General features: G+C 45.6%; 1 protein-coding gene across 5 annotated transcripts in view; it reads left to right on the top strand.

Annotated features, from left to right (window-relative positions):
* The window catches only part of NLRC4 (NLR family CARD domain containing 4), a 41,295-nt gene continuing 27,168 nt past the window's right edge, over positions 629 to 14,755 (top strand). For 2 of the 5 annotated variants that reach the window (NM_001302504.1, NM_021209.4), the window contains exons 1-3: positions 629 to 785; positions 9,479 to 9,597; positions 13,693 to 13,953. In NM_001302504.1, coding sequence (NP_001289433.1) covers position 9,597; positions 13,693 to 13,953 — 262 coding nt within the window. In that variant the 5' untranslated portion in view covers positions 629 to 785; positions 9,479 to 9,596. Of the gene's footprint in view, positions 786 to 1,485; positions 1,635 to 9,478; positions 9,598 to 13,692; positions 13,954 to 14,755 lie in introns of those variants that run through there. The other 3 variants (NM_001199138.2, XM_047445356.1, NM_001199139.1) reach the window with 2 other exon arrangements.

Below are 14,755 nucleotides of genomic sequence, written 5' to 3'. Positions count from 1 at the left end.
GTGAGCCAAGATTGAGCCACTGCACTCCACTCCAGCCTGGGCAACAGAACGAGACTCTGTCTCAAATAAATAAATAAATAAATAAATAAACAAATAAAATAAAAAATAAATAAGTTGATAAATAAAATTAGAATATACAGATAAGCCAAAGACAGAAATTTAAAATTGCTTATAATTGTATTCCCCAGCAATAAGCATCATTACTATTTTGGTGGCTGTCTTTGCAGTTTTTTCTCTTGAACATATGTTTATATATAGGTTTCATTACAATTTAAAAATCTAGCTGATAGTGTAGCCCTCAATCTCACTTCAGAGAAACCCACCTCACAAGTTGGGAAACACTGACACTGATGCCCCCTTAGAAAACCCAGGATGTAGACATTTATTTGCCGGGAAACTTTGGTATCCCTCTATGGCAGATAGGCTACTGTCAGAATGCTCTTTTTGAAATAAGAAGTTATGTAACACAAAGACATGTTCCTGGTAGTTTATGCAAAGACAGAGGAAAGAGTATGCAAGAATGTCATCCTCAAGGGAAGTGCAGAGAGATTTCTTCAGTCCTCAGCTGAGTATAAGCTGGCCTCCTGGAGTCTGTGAACACAAACGTCCAATGTGAGTGTGCCTGTGCAAGCCCCTGGCTGTTTATACTCCGGAGGGTGTCCCCGTGCGTCATCGGTGGAGTGGACCAAAACTGGTGATCTGTTTGCCCTGTGTGACCTTGCCCAGAACCCTGCTGACTGAGAGAACACATCTGCTGGAAGTCCTCTGGGATTCAAGGTACAGGGGTAAGCATGACCTTGAATGCAGTAGCAATGTGCTTTAGCCAACTAAGCTGGCTCATTTCATTTACCGCTCTATCTCCCATGGTTAAGCATTAAAAATACATGTTGTGGCTGGGCATGGTGGCTCACGCCTGTAATCCCAGCACTTTGGGAGGCTGAGGCTGGCAGATTGCCTGAGGTCAGGAGTTCGAGACCAGCCTGGCCAACATGGTGAAATTCTGTCTCTACTAAAAATACAAAAATTAGCCGGGCATGGTGGTGCACGCCTGTAGTCTTAGCTACTGGGAGGACTGAGGCGGGAGGAACGCTTGAACCCGGGAGGCAGAGGTTGCAGTGAGCTGAGATTGTGCCACTGCCCTCCAGCTTGGGTGACAGAACAAGACTCTGTCTCAAAAAAAAGAAAAAAGAAAGAAAAAGAAAAAAAATATATGTTGGATGTTCAGAAGACTTTGTTTCATTTTAAGGTATAGAATAAGTAACTCAACAGCAATGAATTCATATGTTGTGAACAAACAGGAAACAAATGAGTAATTCCTTTCTTGACGGAATTTCTAGCTCTTGCATCTTTTACTCTGAAGTTCTACTTCTTCCCCGGCTACTCCTGCCTACACCCATCTTCCCTTTCTGAACTGGTAGTACTTGTGTCCAAACCACTCTTACTGTGCTTTGAAAAAAAAAAAAGGAACTGCTCAGCAGTTCCCCTCTCTGTACACTGTCCTCTCACAGAACAAGAAGGTATCTGGTCTACAAGAACTCGAGGCCTCACTGAAACGGAAAGCAAATACAAAGAAACTTTATTTTAAAAACATGTCTTGGTCTCCCAAGAAGAGGGCAATTGGATTGCTCAGCCAGGTACTGTGGGTAGAGAGAATGGGATTTTTAAGGTCTGGGGCCCAAATATTAAAATCTGGGTTTACATTCATTTAAAGCTTGTGTCTGGGATGTACAAAAGCCTTAACATTGACGAGTGTGATTTGCATGCCTGGCTGGATTTGCCTGCCGAGAAACCTTTAGGGGTGGTTAATCGGGTCTGCTGGGGCTTCATCAGGTTCAAGGGGTACATGTACCCCTTGGACTACTGTGAGATGGAAAGGACTTTGGAAACACTTTTTGGCATTACAGAAAGGAAACTCACTCTTTTTTTTTTTTTTTTTTTGAGACAGAGTCTTGCTCTGTCACCCAGGCTGGACTGCAGTGGCGTGATCTCGGCTCACTGCAACCTCTGCCTCCTGGGTTCAAGCAATTCTCCTGCCTCAGCCTCCCAAGTAGCTGGGATTACAGGCACCCGGCACCGCGCCCCAGCTAATTTTTGTATTTTTAGTAGAGACAGGGTTTCACCATGTTGGCCAGACTGGTCTCAACTCCTGACCTCGTGATCTGCCCACCTCAGCCTCCCAAAGTGCTGGGATTACAGGTGTGAGCCAACGTGCCCGGCCAGGAAACTCACTCTTGTTGCTAAGACTGTTGTTAGAATCACAGATGATCAAAGCTGAAAGGAACGAGGTGGACTACTTAGTCCATCCAATCTCCCAAGTTACTGATGAGAAACCTGATATTTGGAGACAGAAGTGAAGGAAATCACCCTTTACGGGACACCTATTTCGTGATAGGGTCTTTATGTACATTATCTCAGTAGATCCTTGCAGCCTGGCTTTGAGAGGTGGAAAATGTGGTAGAGAGGAGTTAAATGTCCTGCCCTACATCACACTGCTAATTGTCTACAAAACTAGGATAGAACCTGGTCAGCACACTTCTTAACTGTTCACACACTTTTATAATATTAGTCGTATTAATGTGTTTAAAATACCATAGACTGGGTGGCTTAAACAACAGAAATTTATATTCCCACAGTTCTGGAGGCTGCAAGTCCAAGACCAAGGTGTCAGCAGGGTTGGCTTCTCCCCACGCCTCCCTCCTTGGCCTTTTCTCTCTGTATGCACATTCCTGGTATCTCCCTTTGTGTGTCCCGATTTCCTCTTCTCATAACAGCCTCATTTGAGCTTAATGACCTCTTTAAAGGCTCTGTCTGCAAATACAGTCACATTCTGAGGTTCAGGGCTTCAACATATGGATTTGGGGGAAGCCCAGTTCAGCACATAACACTAATATTAACATGTGAGATTGCTGAAGCCTATTAAAGACCTAAGAACATTCTAGTCTAGAGCCTTTTTACTAGAAAGGAAGACAGATAATACCCACTGACCATCTTTGTCACAACTACTTTCATGTTTAATCTTCACAATAGTCCAGGGAGGTGAATATTATGCATGATTTGGAAAGCAAGATTCGGAAAGGCTAAGTAACATGTCTAGGGATACTTACCTCATAAGGTGCAGAGTGAGGATTTGAATTCAGATCTGCAATGCCAAAGCCCACACACATTTTCCATTTCTGTGTGCTTCCTGTCTGCTCCTAATTATATGTACTCTTTCCCTTATTTTATCTGTGAGGTGTGGGAATGACCCCATAGACGTGGGTTATATGGGTCCAGAGAAACTTCAGTTCTCTGAGGAGCTCATGTAACCTTTTTTAAGAAAATGCCAATTTTAGAATTAGTACTAAATATTATTTTCCAGCTGGGCATGGTGGCTTATGCCTGTAATCCCAGCACTTTGGGAGGCCGAGGCAGGCAGATTGCCTATATATATATAATATATATTATTATATTATTTTCCAATGTACAAATGTGGGGGAAGGACTTCTTCCACCCAATTCAGTTATTCACTGGACAGCTTGCGGGGAGGGGTTGCAGGGCCATAGCTACATTCCAAGAGAGTACACTGGTCTCAGTCCTATTCTTTTTTTTTTTTGTCTGAGACAGAGTCTCTCTCTGTCACCCAGGCTGGAGTGCAATGGTGCTATCTTGGCTCACTGAAACCTCCACCTCCTGGGTTCAAGAAACTCTCCTGTCCCAGCTTCCCAAGTAGCTGGGATTACAGGTGTGCACCTCCACGCCTGGCTAATTTCTTGTACTTTTAGCAGAGATGGGGTTTCACCATGTTGGCCAGGCTGGTCTCAAACTCCTGACTTCAGGTGATCCACCCTCCTCAGTCTCCCCAAGCACTGGGATTACAAGCGTGAACCACCACGCCTGGTCCACAGCCCTATTCTTTATGCCAGTGGGTAACTGAGAAAAATTACATGATCTTCAGTATATGGATTGATTTTGTTCTTGAGAGCAATTAAAAACTTTATACATCTTAGCTCCTTCCTCTATCTTCTTCCTCTTTTTCTACTCTGACTTAAACTTTGACCCAGTCAGGGATGGTGTGATTCTTCCCAAACCCACCCCTTTTTGGGGAAGTAGAAAGGGAGAGAAGAATCTACAGTTGCCGCCATTCACTGAGTCCTTCCTGTGTGCCAGTCATTACCCCTTGATTGAGGACTCTTAGTGTGTCAGTGGTAGAGCTGTAGTTTGAACGCAATCCTGACACCAAAATGTGCCCTTGCTTAAGCTCCTGAGCTGCCCCAATTTCTTTTCTTTTCTTTCTTTCTTTTTTTCTTTTTTTTGACCCAGAGTCTCGCTCTGTCACCAGGCTGGAGTGCAGTGGCGCAATCTCGGCTCACTGCAACCTCCGCCTCCCTGGTTCAAGTGATTCTCCTGCCTCAGCCTCCCGAGTAGCTGGGAGTACAGGCGCCTGCCACCACGCCTGGCTAATTCTTGTATTTTTAGTAGAGACGGGGTTTCACCATGTTGGCCAGGATGGTCTCGATCTCTTGACCTCGTGATCCACCTGCCTCAGCCTCCCAAAGTGCTAGGATTACAGGCGTGAGCCACCGCGCCTGGCTGCTCCAATTTCAATGACAATTTTTTATATTGTTAATGAATCAGTTTTAACATAAAAGGGAAACTTTATTTTCTGAAAATAGATATGCTTTTGAAGCAGCATCATTGGGGTAAATACCTGATGTTCGTTGTCTCACGCCAAAGGAATCGAGGACACAGACACACAAGAAGTGAGTTTGAGAGTGGAGTTTTAGGCCGGGCATGGTGGCTCACGCCTGTAATCCCAGCACTTTGGGAGGCCGAGGCAGGCAGATCACAAGATCAGGAGGTTGAGACCATCCTGGCCAACATGGTGAAACCCCATCTCTACTAAAAATACAAAAATTAGCTGGGTGAGGAGGCATGCACCTGTAATCCCAGCTACTCGGGAGGCTGAGGCAGGAGAATCGCTTGAACCCAGATGGCAGAGGTTGCAGTGAGCTGAGGTCGCACCACTGCACTCCAGCCTGGCTACAGAGCGAGGCTCCATCTCAAAAAAAAACAAAAGGGGGGAGGCTTAATAGGCGAAAGAAAGAGAAAAGAGAATAGCTCTCTCTCCTGCAGAGAGAGAGGGGAACCTGAGTGAGTGGTTTTGTGGTGAAATACATGGTGTTGTTGTTGTTGTTGTTTTCAGATGGAGTCTCGCTCTGTCGCCCAGGCTGGAGTGCAGTGCTGCGATCTCGGCTCACTGCAAGCTCCGCCCCCCGGGTTCACGCCATTCTCCTGCCTCAGCCTCCCGATTAGCTGGGACTACAGGCGCCCACCACCACGCCTGGCTAAATTTTTGAATTTTTTAGTAGAGACAGGGTTTCACCTTGTTAGCCAGGATGGTCTCGATCTCCTGACTTTGTGATCCGCCTGCCTCAGCCTCCCAAAGTGCTGGGATTACAGGCGTGAGCCACTGCACCCAGCCAATGCATGGGGTTTTATAGATGAACTTGAGAAGGTGGTGTCTGATATACATAGGGACTGAGAGATTGGTCAGAACCGGTATAACGTTTGCATAGCGCACGAAGAAGCCGGCCATTCCACCCTTATGTTTTATTATGCAGATGGGGTCTCTATCTGGCCGGCACTATGTTGTCTGTTCCTACTGTACACATGGTTGAAAAAGAAAAGGGAAGATGGATCCGCCATGTTGAATATGCCTGGCCCCCAGGTGGCTTTTTTCTATGGGCACAGCTACTGGCATTTACCAATGCAAGCTTTTAGCTTATCTATACTTGCAGCTTGATTTTTCAGGCTGCTTTTTATTAGAAAAGATATGATTTGGGGGCTTTTTGAATGAAAGGAAACTTTATCTAGGACTTTCTTATCCTCACTTATCACTCTCACAACAGCAACATTCACAGCAAACTTGCCATGGCTGTGAGCATCTAGTTTAAGCTGAGGAGATCCTTATTCAAAGAGCTTGTGAAATTAGAAAGATCAGAGTCAAAGTAAGCTATTCTTAGAGAAGTTTTTGTGGGGAAGGACCCCCTTGTACAAAAGTATTCATTGTTCTGTATTTATGATAGCCCCAATCTGAAAACAACCCAATCCATCAACAGGAGAATAGATAAATAAACTCTAGTTTTTTTTTTTTCGTTGTTTTTTTTTTTTTTTTTTTTGTCGTTGCCCAGGCTGGAGTGTGGTGGCACGATCTTGGCTCACTGCAACCTCCGCTTCCTGGGTTCAAGTGATTCTCCTGCCTCAGCCTCCCAAGTAGCTGGAATTACAGGCATGAGCCACCATGCCCGGGTAATTTTTGTATTTTTAGTAGAGACAGGGTTTCGCCATGTTGGCCAGGCTGGTCTTGAACTCCTGACCTCAGGTGATCCGCCCACCTCGGCCTCCCAATATGCTGGGATTACAGGCGTGAGCCACCGTGCCCGGCCAATACACTCTAGTATTTTATACAGTACAATACTACTAAGCAATGAAATGTTACAAACTACTTATACTGCAAGCAACAGCATGAGTGACTTACACAGACATTGTGTGGAATGAAAGGAGTAGCACATACTGTATGATTCCGTTTATGTGAAGTTCTTCAACAGGCTAATTTACGGTTTAAAAAAATCAGAAGAGTGATTTTCTTTGAGGGTGTGGCAGAGATGGAATTTGACTGGGAAGGGGCATAGGATACTAAGGAGAGGGTAATGTTTTCTGTCTTGATAGGTGTTTGAGGTAGAAGCATTTTTCAGCTCATCAAAGGGTACAGTTAAGATCTCTGCTTTCACTGTAGGTGAATTTTTCCTAAGAAAGAATAATAAACCAATATTGAATTCTAGTTAATTATATGAACATAGAAGTGTACTAACGTCTGCAACTTACATTGAATATGCAAGAAAATAAGTAAAATAGATTGATAAATGAATAGAGGGATGGATTTTCTCTATGTTTGAAAATGTTCATAATAAAATGTTAGGGTAATGGCCAGACGCGGTGGCTCATTCTTGTGATCTCAGCATTTTGGGAGACTGAGGCAGACAGATCACTTTAGCCCAGGAGTTTGAGACCAGCCTGGGCAACACGGCAAAACTCTGTCTCTAAAAAAAAAAAAAAAAAAAAAAAAAAAATTAGCCAGGCATGGTGGCACACACCTGCGGTCCCAGTTACTCAGGAGGCTGAGGTGGGAAGATCACCTGAGCCCAGAAGGTTAAGGATGCCGTGAGCCATGATGGGGCCACTGCACTCCAACCTGGGTGACAGAGTGAGACCCTGTCTCAAAAAAAGAGTTTTAATGTTAGGATAACATGAGTTCCCATGCCAACCCCATCCACATGAGTTCCCAAGCCAACTCCATTCACATACCACAATCACACTCACATAGCTCCCATTTTGTTTCTCTCCACCCAGTGATTCTAGTTCTCTTCCCCACTTCCTGTCTGCCCTCTCATGCTGTCTTTAATTCAGACTTTGCATCTTCATCCTGATGCAGGGGGTCGTGTATGTGTGTATGAGGAGCCGGGGTAGATCATCTAACTTGGTTTGGGAATGCACACAGAGCAGTCTCAGAGGCTTCTGGGCCCCTGCTTTTCAGAGTGTGTGGAGGAGGAAGGGAGAAAGGAAGTTGCTTTTAAAGCAACTAGGAGGATGAAATGACAGGACCATACCAGGAAATTGAAATCCGTTTCTTATCTTAAAACATCACTTTAAACATACTCCTTATACCATAATCTCTCCCAGTTGCTCATAGGATAAAGAACAAATGCCTCATCTTGGCGTACAAGGCTTTCCATAGCTTTTCCCCTTTGTACCCTGGAAGCATAACTCCTTTTTTCTGTCTCCTCAATTACTCATATTGATAGGGAAGGGGGGAAGGGAAGTGCTGGGAAGAGAAGGGCGCGTCCCTGGCAAGGGCTCCACCCCCAGGCCTGTGCCCACGGACCTAGGTGAGGACAGGCACTCCTGCCTTGGCGCCCAAATGTTGCATTTCCCAAGGCCACCCTGGCCTGCCACACCGTCATCCTATGCTTATAAAAATCCCAGAGACCCTTGCAGGCAGACACACAAGCGGCTGGACGTCGAGAGGAACACATCGGCGGAAGAACATACAAGCAGCTGGACGTCCAGAGGACGTTGAAGGGAGAATGCTGGCGGAAGAGCACACAACAGACATCGGCACGCCAGCAGGCCATCCACCAGAGGAACGACTCGGAGTTTGGCCTGGAGGGTTGGAGAAGAGTTGGTGGCGGTCTTACTCCGGGGAAAAACCATCTCCCTTCTGGCTACCCCATCTGCTGAGAGCTTCTTCCACTCAATGAAACCTTGCGCTCATTCTCCAAGACCACGTGTGATCCAATTCCTCCGGTACACCAAGGCAAGAACCCCGGAATACAGAAAGCCCTCTGTCCTTGCAATAAGGCAGGGGTCCCATTGAGCTAATACAAGACGCCTACGGACAGCTGAACTAAAAGAGCACCCTGTAACACACACCCACTGGGGCTTCAGGAGCTGTAAACATTCACCACTAGACACTGCCGTGGGATTGGAACCCCACAGCCCGCCCATCTGTATGATCCCCTAGAGGTCTGAGCAGCGGGCACTGAAGAAGTGAGCCACACCCCCATCGCAAGCCCTGCGAAGGGGACAAGAGAACTTTTCCCCTTTCCATACTCCCTGATCTCATCCTCTCACCTGCAAGGCGTTTTACATCCTCATCTCCACCTCCACCCCAGCCCAACTACCTGGCCTCATCTTACTTATCCTTTTTTTTTTTTTTTTTTCTTTTTGAGGCAGAGTCTCGCTCTGTCTGCCAGGCTGGGATGCAGTGGCACGATCTCGGCTCACTGCAACCTCCGTCTCCCGGGCTCAAGTGACTCTCCTGCCTCAGCCTCCGGAACAGCTGGGACTACAGGCGTGTGCCACCACGCCCCGCTAATTTTTGTATTTTTAATAGAGACAGGATTCACCATGTTGGTCAGGCTGGTCTCGAACTCCTTACCTCACGTGATCCGCCTGCCTCGGCCTCCCAAAGTGTTGGGATTACAGGCGTGAGCCACCGCGCCCAGCCCTACTTATCCTTTAAGACCTGGTTCATGTGCTGTCTCCTCCATGAAAACTTCCTCCCTGGATGATTCCAGTCCATATACTCTTTCCTGGAAATACTGGAGAGAACGTACCCTCTGCACCATTCATGTTGACACTTATACCGTCTTTTGACATTTAATTCCATGTTGCCTTCTTGGCTCTGAACAGCAGAAATGAGAAGAAACTTTGAAGAGAAGGGCAAAGTTCCAGCTGAACATAGTTTAGAGCTCTAGGCAAGGAGTCCAGCCGCCTGGGTTCTCTTTAGGGCCTGGCCATGAATAGCCAGGGGCTTTGAGCGAGTTTTTTTCTGGTTTGGGTCACCATTTTCTCATCTATGAAAAGCGGGGCATTACCTAGATAATTGCATCAGCCCCTCCACCTGATAGTCTCTGGTTCTGTTTTGTTTGTTTTACAGAATGAAGAGTAGTTTTACAGAAAAAAGAGGACAATATTGGGATCACCTTTGACCTTTCCATTTGGAAATAATATTTTCTATTGTGTTATAGAAAGGTGGGAAGCTTTCATCCAGAACAAGTAAGTATATGAGAAATAACATCTGCCTGGTTATACAGTCTGCTACCAAATACTGGTGATTTTAAATGGAAAATCAGTTCATGGCTTCCTCTGACCAGTCATATGTGGAATTACCAATAAATATTCTTCTGTTGTTTTAGGAATTCAGTTACAAATATGGTAACCTGTGATAAAAGGCAGAACCACAGATAGGATAGGACTTACACAAAGAGTGACCAGGTGTATGTTTTAAACTGTTAGTTCTCATCACCTGTTCAGCCAGACAGCAGAGAGCTATACATGTCAAGCTCATTGTGAAGAAACATGGTATAGATCTAAGTGGCAACCAAAATGTAGCTCCTTCCACTTTAAATGGCTGGGTGTAGACCTGCACTATCTAGTATATTAATAGTAGCCACTAGCCCTCTGTAGCTATTTAAAGGTGAATTTAAATAAAATAAAATGTAAACTTCAGTTGCACAGTCACTGTAGCCAGATTTCAAGCACTCAGTAGTCACATGTGGCTAATGACTACCATATTGTATAATGCAGATATAGAACATGTTCATTATCACAGAAAGTTCTATTGAAAAGCATTGGTCTAGACAAAGAGATATTCTGAAAAGAATGAATAATTAATGAATAAATGAGCAGCATTTTTTCCACCTAATTACTTGATAAGGAAGGAGTATGATGGTCTACATACAAGGAGATATAACATAGTAAAATAATATCTTACTGTTTATATATATATTTTTTTTTGTAAATTTTTTTTTTTGTGTGAGATGGAGTCTCGCTCTGTAGCCCAGGCTGGAGTGCAGTGGTGTGATCTTGGCTCACTGCAACCTCCACCTCCTGGGTTCAAGCGATGCTTCTGCCTCAGCCTCCTGAGTAGCTGGGACCACAGGCGCGTGCCACCATGCCCAGCTAATTTTTTGTATTTTTAGTAGAGACGAGGTTTCACCATATTAGCCAGGATGATCTCGATCTCCTGACCTCGTGATCCACCCGCCTCGGCCTCCCAAAATGCTGGGATTACAGGTGTGAGCCACCACGCCTAGCCACTTTTCCAATTTTAAGACATTTTTGGGTATGAGAGTTATGTGACTTATTCAATATAATGAGTCTTTTAAATAATTAGAGTATTTTAAATAACGTGTCTTCATTTTATAGGTGAAGAAAGGTAGTCTCAGGAAGGCTAGGCTGTGAACTTGTGTGTGTGTGGGTCTCTAAGCCTTTCTGAGGCTGTATTTCTTATTTTTTTTTTTTTTTTTTGAGACGGAGTTTTGCTCTTGTTGCCCAGGCTGGAGTGCAATGGCGCCATCTGGGCTCACCGCAACCTCTGCTTCCCAGGTTCAAGTGATTCGCCTGCCTCAGCCTCCCGAGTAGCTGGGATTACAGGCATGTGCCACCACGACTGGCTAATTTTGTATTTTTAGTAGAGACAGGGTTTCTCCATGTTGGTCAGGCTAGTCTCGAACTCCCGACCTCAGATAATCCGCCCACCTCAGCCTTCCAAAGTGCTGGGATTACAGGTGTGAGCCACTGCGCCCGGGTGAGGCTGTATTTCTTTAGCTCTAAACTGAAGATCACAATGGGACACAGACTTAGAGGTTACTTCCATAGGGATGATGTGGAAGCTAGAGAACAGATGAGACCCCAGAAGGAGAGAGATGGGACTCTTGCAGGACATGTAGACAGGGAATATTCTAGCTGAGGTCAGCAGCAGAGCTCTGCAATGGTGAGAAAGGACGGCTGGGGTGGGGTCCTGGTGCTTGGAGTGATTGATGGTGCATTTCAGGCCAGAGAGGTTCTGGGGTCTTTGAGAGGAGTGCATTCCCTCTCTGATCAGTCAACACAGGTTTGAAAGCCAGGAGCGGCCAGGTGCGGTGGCTCATGCCTGTAATCCTAGCACTTTGGGAAGCTGAGACGGGCAGATCACCTGAGGTCGGGAGTTCGAGACCAGCCTGACCAACATAGAGAAATCTCATCTCTACTAAAAATACAAAATTAGCTGGGTGTGGTGGCGCATGCCTGTAATCCCAGCTGCTTGGGAGGCCGAGGCAGGGGAATTGCTTGAACCTGGCAGGCAGAGGTTGTGGTGAGCTGAGATCGCGCCATTGCACTCCAGCCTGGGCAGCAACAGTGAAACTTCGTCTGAAAAAAAAAAAAAAAAAAAAAACCAGGAGCAGCCTAGCCCAGGAAGAAATCTAGTGCAGACGGTGTCTGAGAGTTAAAAACCAGGAAGACATTTCTCCAAGCTGTCACAAACATAGCGTGGGTACAGTGCCTGGGTACGGTGTGGTCTACGTTTCAGAATTAGACCTTGCAGAGTCAGACACAAAAAGGACACAGCTACCCTCAAGACCTGGCGAGAGAGCTTACATTGGATAAAAACCAGTGTTTTGATGTGATACTCTTCAGAAAAGACCAAAGTCTGTGGAGATACAATGTGCTCTTTGTCTGGTGACACCTGAATAAAGGCTAAAAATAGTAGCTAACATATATTGAGTTATTACTTTGTATGAGATACTATACATGAATTATTGTAACAACTTCCTAAGTTAAATAATGCTCTTGACACCATTGTACAGATGAGGAATCCCCAGTGTGCTGGAGCTGGTTGTTACTGTGATGTGAAACCTGATTATTGAATTTTCAGGATTTTTGTTAGCCAGTTAACATACGCTGTTAGCTTGAAATAGGCCATGGTAGGAATATTTATACCTTGGGGATTGGTGAATGCTACAAATTAGGGCCTTTACTCCCAGAGGGCCAGGGCCAGTTTGTGAAACATTTAGCAGCACGTACTTTTTTTTTTTTTTTTTTTTGAGACAGAGTTTTGCTCTTGTTGCCCAGGCTGGAGTGCAATGGCACCATCTCGGCTCACCGCAACCTCCACCTCCCAGGTTCAAGCGATTCTCCTGCCTCAGCCTCCTGAGTAGCTGCCACTACAGGCATGCACCACCACACCTGGCTAATTTTGCATTTTTAGTAGAGACAAGGTTTCTCCATGTTGGTCAGGCTGGTCTCGAACTCCCGACCTCTGGTGATCCGCCCGCCTTGGCCTCCCAAAGTGCTGGGGTTACAGGTGTGAGCCACCGCACCCGGCCAGCAGCACGTAATTGAAATAGACTCAAAGAGGCTTAGTGACTTGCCAAGGTCACATAGATGGTAGCAAGTGGCAGATCCTAGGCCATTGCCATTATTCTAAAGCCAACGGTCTTACAACTACAACCTCACTGGGGACTGCTTTATATCAGAGGGACAAGATAACTCACCTTACTTCTTCACCAAAGCAAAACATCTTGCTCATCAATAACTCTGGGGTTAGAAATGCTTTGCAGAGGCCGGGCACGGTGGCTCACGCCTGTAATCCCAGCACTTTGGGAAGCCAAGGCAGGTGGATCACAAGGTCAGGAGTTCGAGACCAGTCTGACCAAAATGGTGAAACCCCGTCTCTACAAATAATAGAAAAATTAGCTGAGTGTGGTGGTGCGTGCCTGTAATCCCAGCTACTCAGGAGGCGGAGGCAGGAGAATTGCTTGAACCCAGGAGGCAGAGCTTGCAGTGAGCCGAGATCGCGTCACTGCACTCCAGCCTGGGTGACACAGCAAGACTCCGTCTCAGAAAAAAAATGCTTGGCAGAGCATTTCTTGAAGGCCTGGAATTCAGGCATTTGGCATCTCCATAACTCAGGAGATGCTCACAGGAAAAAAATGCATGGCCCTAATGCTCTGGAGACAGATGCTGATATGCATATTTAATTTTTTTTTTTTAGACGGAGTCTCGCTCTTTCGCCCAGGCCGGAGTGCAGTGGCGCTATCTCAGCTCACTGCAAGCTCCGCCTCCTGGGTTCACGCCATTCTCCTGCCTCAGCCTCCCAAGTAGCTGGGACTACAGGCGCCCGCCACCACGCCCGGCTAATTTTTTGTATTTTTAGTAGAGACAGGGTTTCACTGTGTTAGCCAGGATGGTCTCGATCTCCTGACCTCGTGATCTGCCCGCCTCGGCCTCCCAAAGTGCTGGGATTACAGGCGTGAGCCACCGTGCCCAGCCGGATATGCACATTTTATATAAGTAAATAAATATGTATATTTCTCCCCATCTCCTCAGTGAATTTCATAAAGGACAATAGCCGAGCCCTTATTCAAAGAATGGGAATGACTGTTATAAAGCAAATCACAGATGACCTATTTGTATGGAATGTTCTGAATCGCGAAGAAGTAAACATCATTTGCTGCGAGAAGGTGGAGCAGGATGCTGCTAGAGGGATCATTCACATGATTTTGAAAAAGGGTTCAGAGTCCTGTAACCTCTTTCTTAAATCCCTTAAGGAGTGGAACTATCCTCTATTTCAGGACTTGAATGGACAAAGTAAGTATCAGTTAGTTTTGCATCTGTTTCTGCAAGTAGAATAGACCACAACAAAGATCCATCTTCCCCATGGCAGAGCCTCTGCTTTTCCTTCTCTTCATATCACCTGGCAGTGGCCTTTGATACCTGCTAAGGAAAAGCTTAGATGATTTTAGGAAAAACTCATAGTAGATCAATTGATGGTGAAGCCAAACAAATAACCCCAAGGCCAGGAAATAAATGATTGAGTATTGTCTCACTGCAAGATAAAACTGGAGAATAAGTGCACTAGTTAAGCTTCCAGTGCAGCAGTGGTTCTCAGCATTCCCTGGTTGGATGAGATCTACCTATGGGAGAGAGGCCCAGCTGACTACCTACTCCATGTCCAGGCCTCCTGGTAAAGACAGCCTGACTGACACAGAACCATGATTCTATGTTTCATAAAATATTGTTTTTATTTTTTTAATTAGTAAATAAGGTCATGACAGATTTTACTCAGAGTGAAGGCCTACTATGATGACAATTATCCCTAACCATCTTTCTCTGCCAAATTCTTTACTTTCCTTAACCCAAAAACAAGCTCCTCCCTTTTCCAACCAGCTGCTATAAGATTTGGTTGTGGAAAGGAGGAAACAGAAAGCAAAAAGGGGAGTGGGGTAAAGGATGCTGGGGAAAGGGGGAGCAGACAGAACCCTTTGTGCCAGCTCAGAACTGGGAAAGGACATTACATTCACCAATGGCAGATTCTCAGCCTCACCCCCCCGTTCATCCTCCTGAACTCTAGGTTTTGAGGAGACACAGAATTGGGTCTTCTTTAACATCA

This window comes from Homo sapiens, chromosome 2, assembly GCF_000001405.40.
Source record: "Homo sapiens chromosome 2, GRCh38.p14 Primary Assembly".
Lineage (NCBI taxonomy): Eukaryota > Metazoa > Chordata > Mammalia > Primates > Hominidae > Homo > Homo sapiens.
Note: the sequence above shows the minus strand (reverse complement) of the source record. Positions and strands in the feature narration are given on the sequence as shown.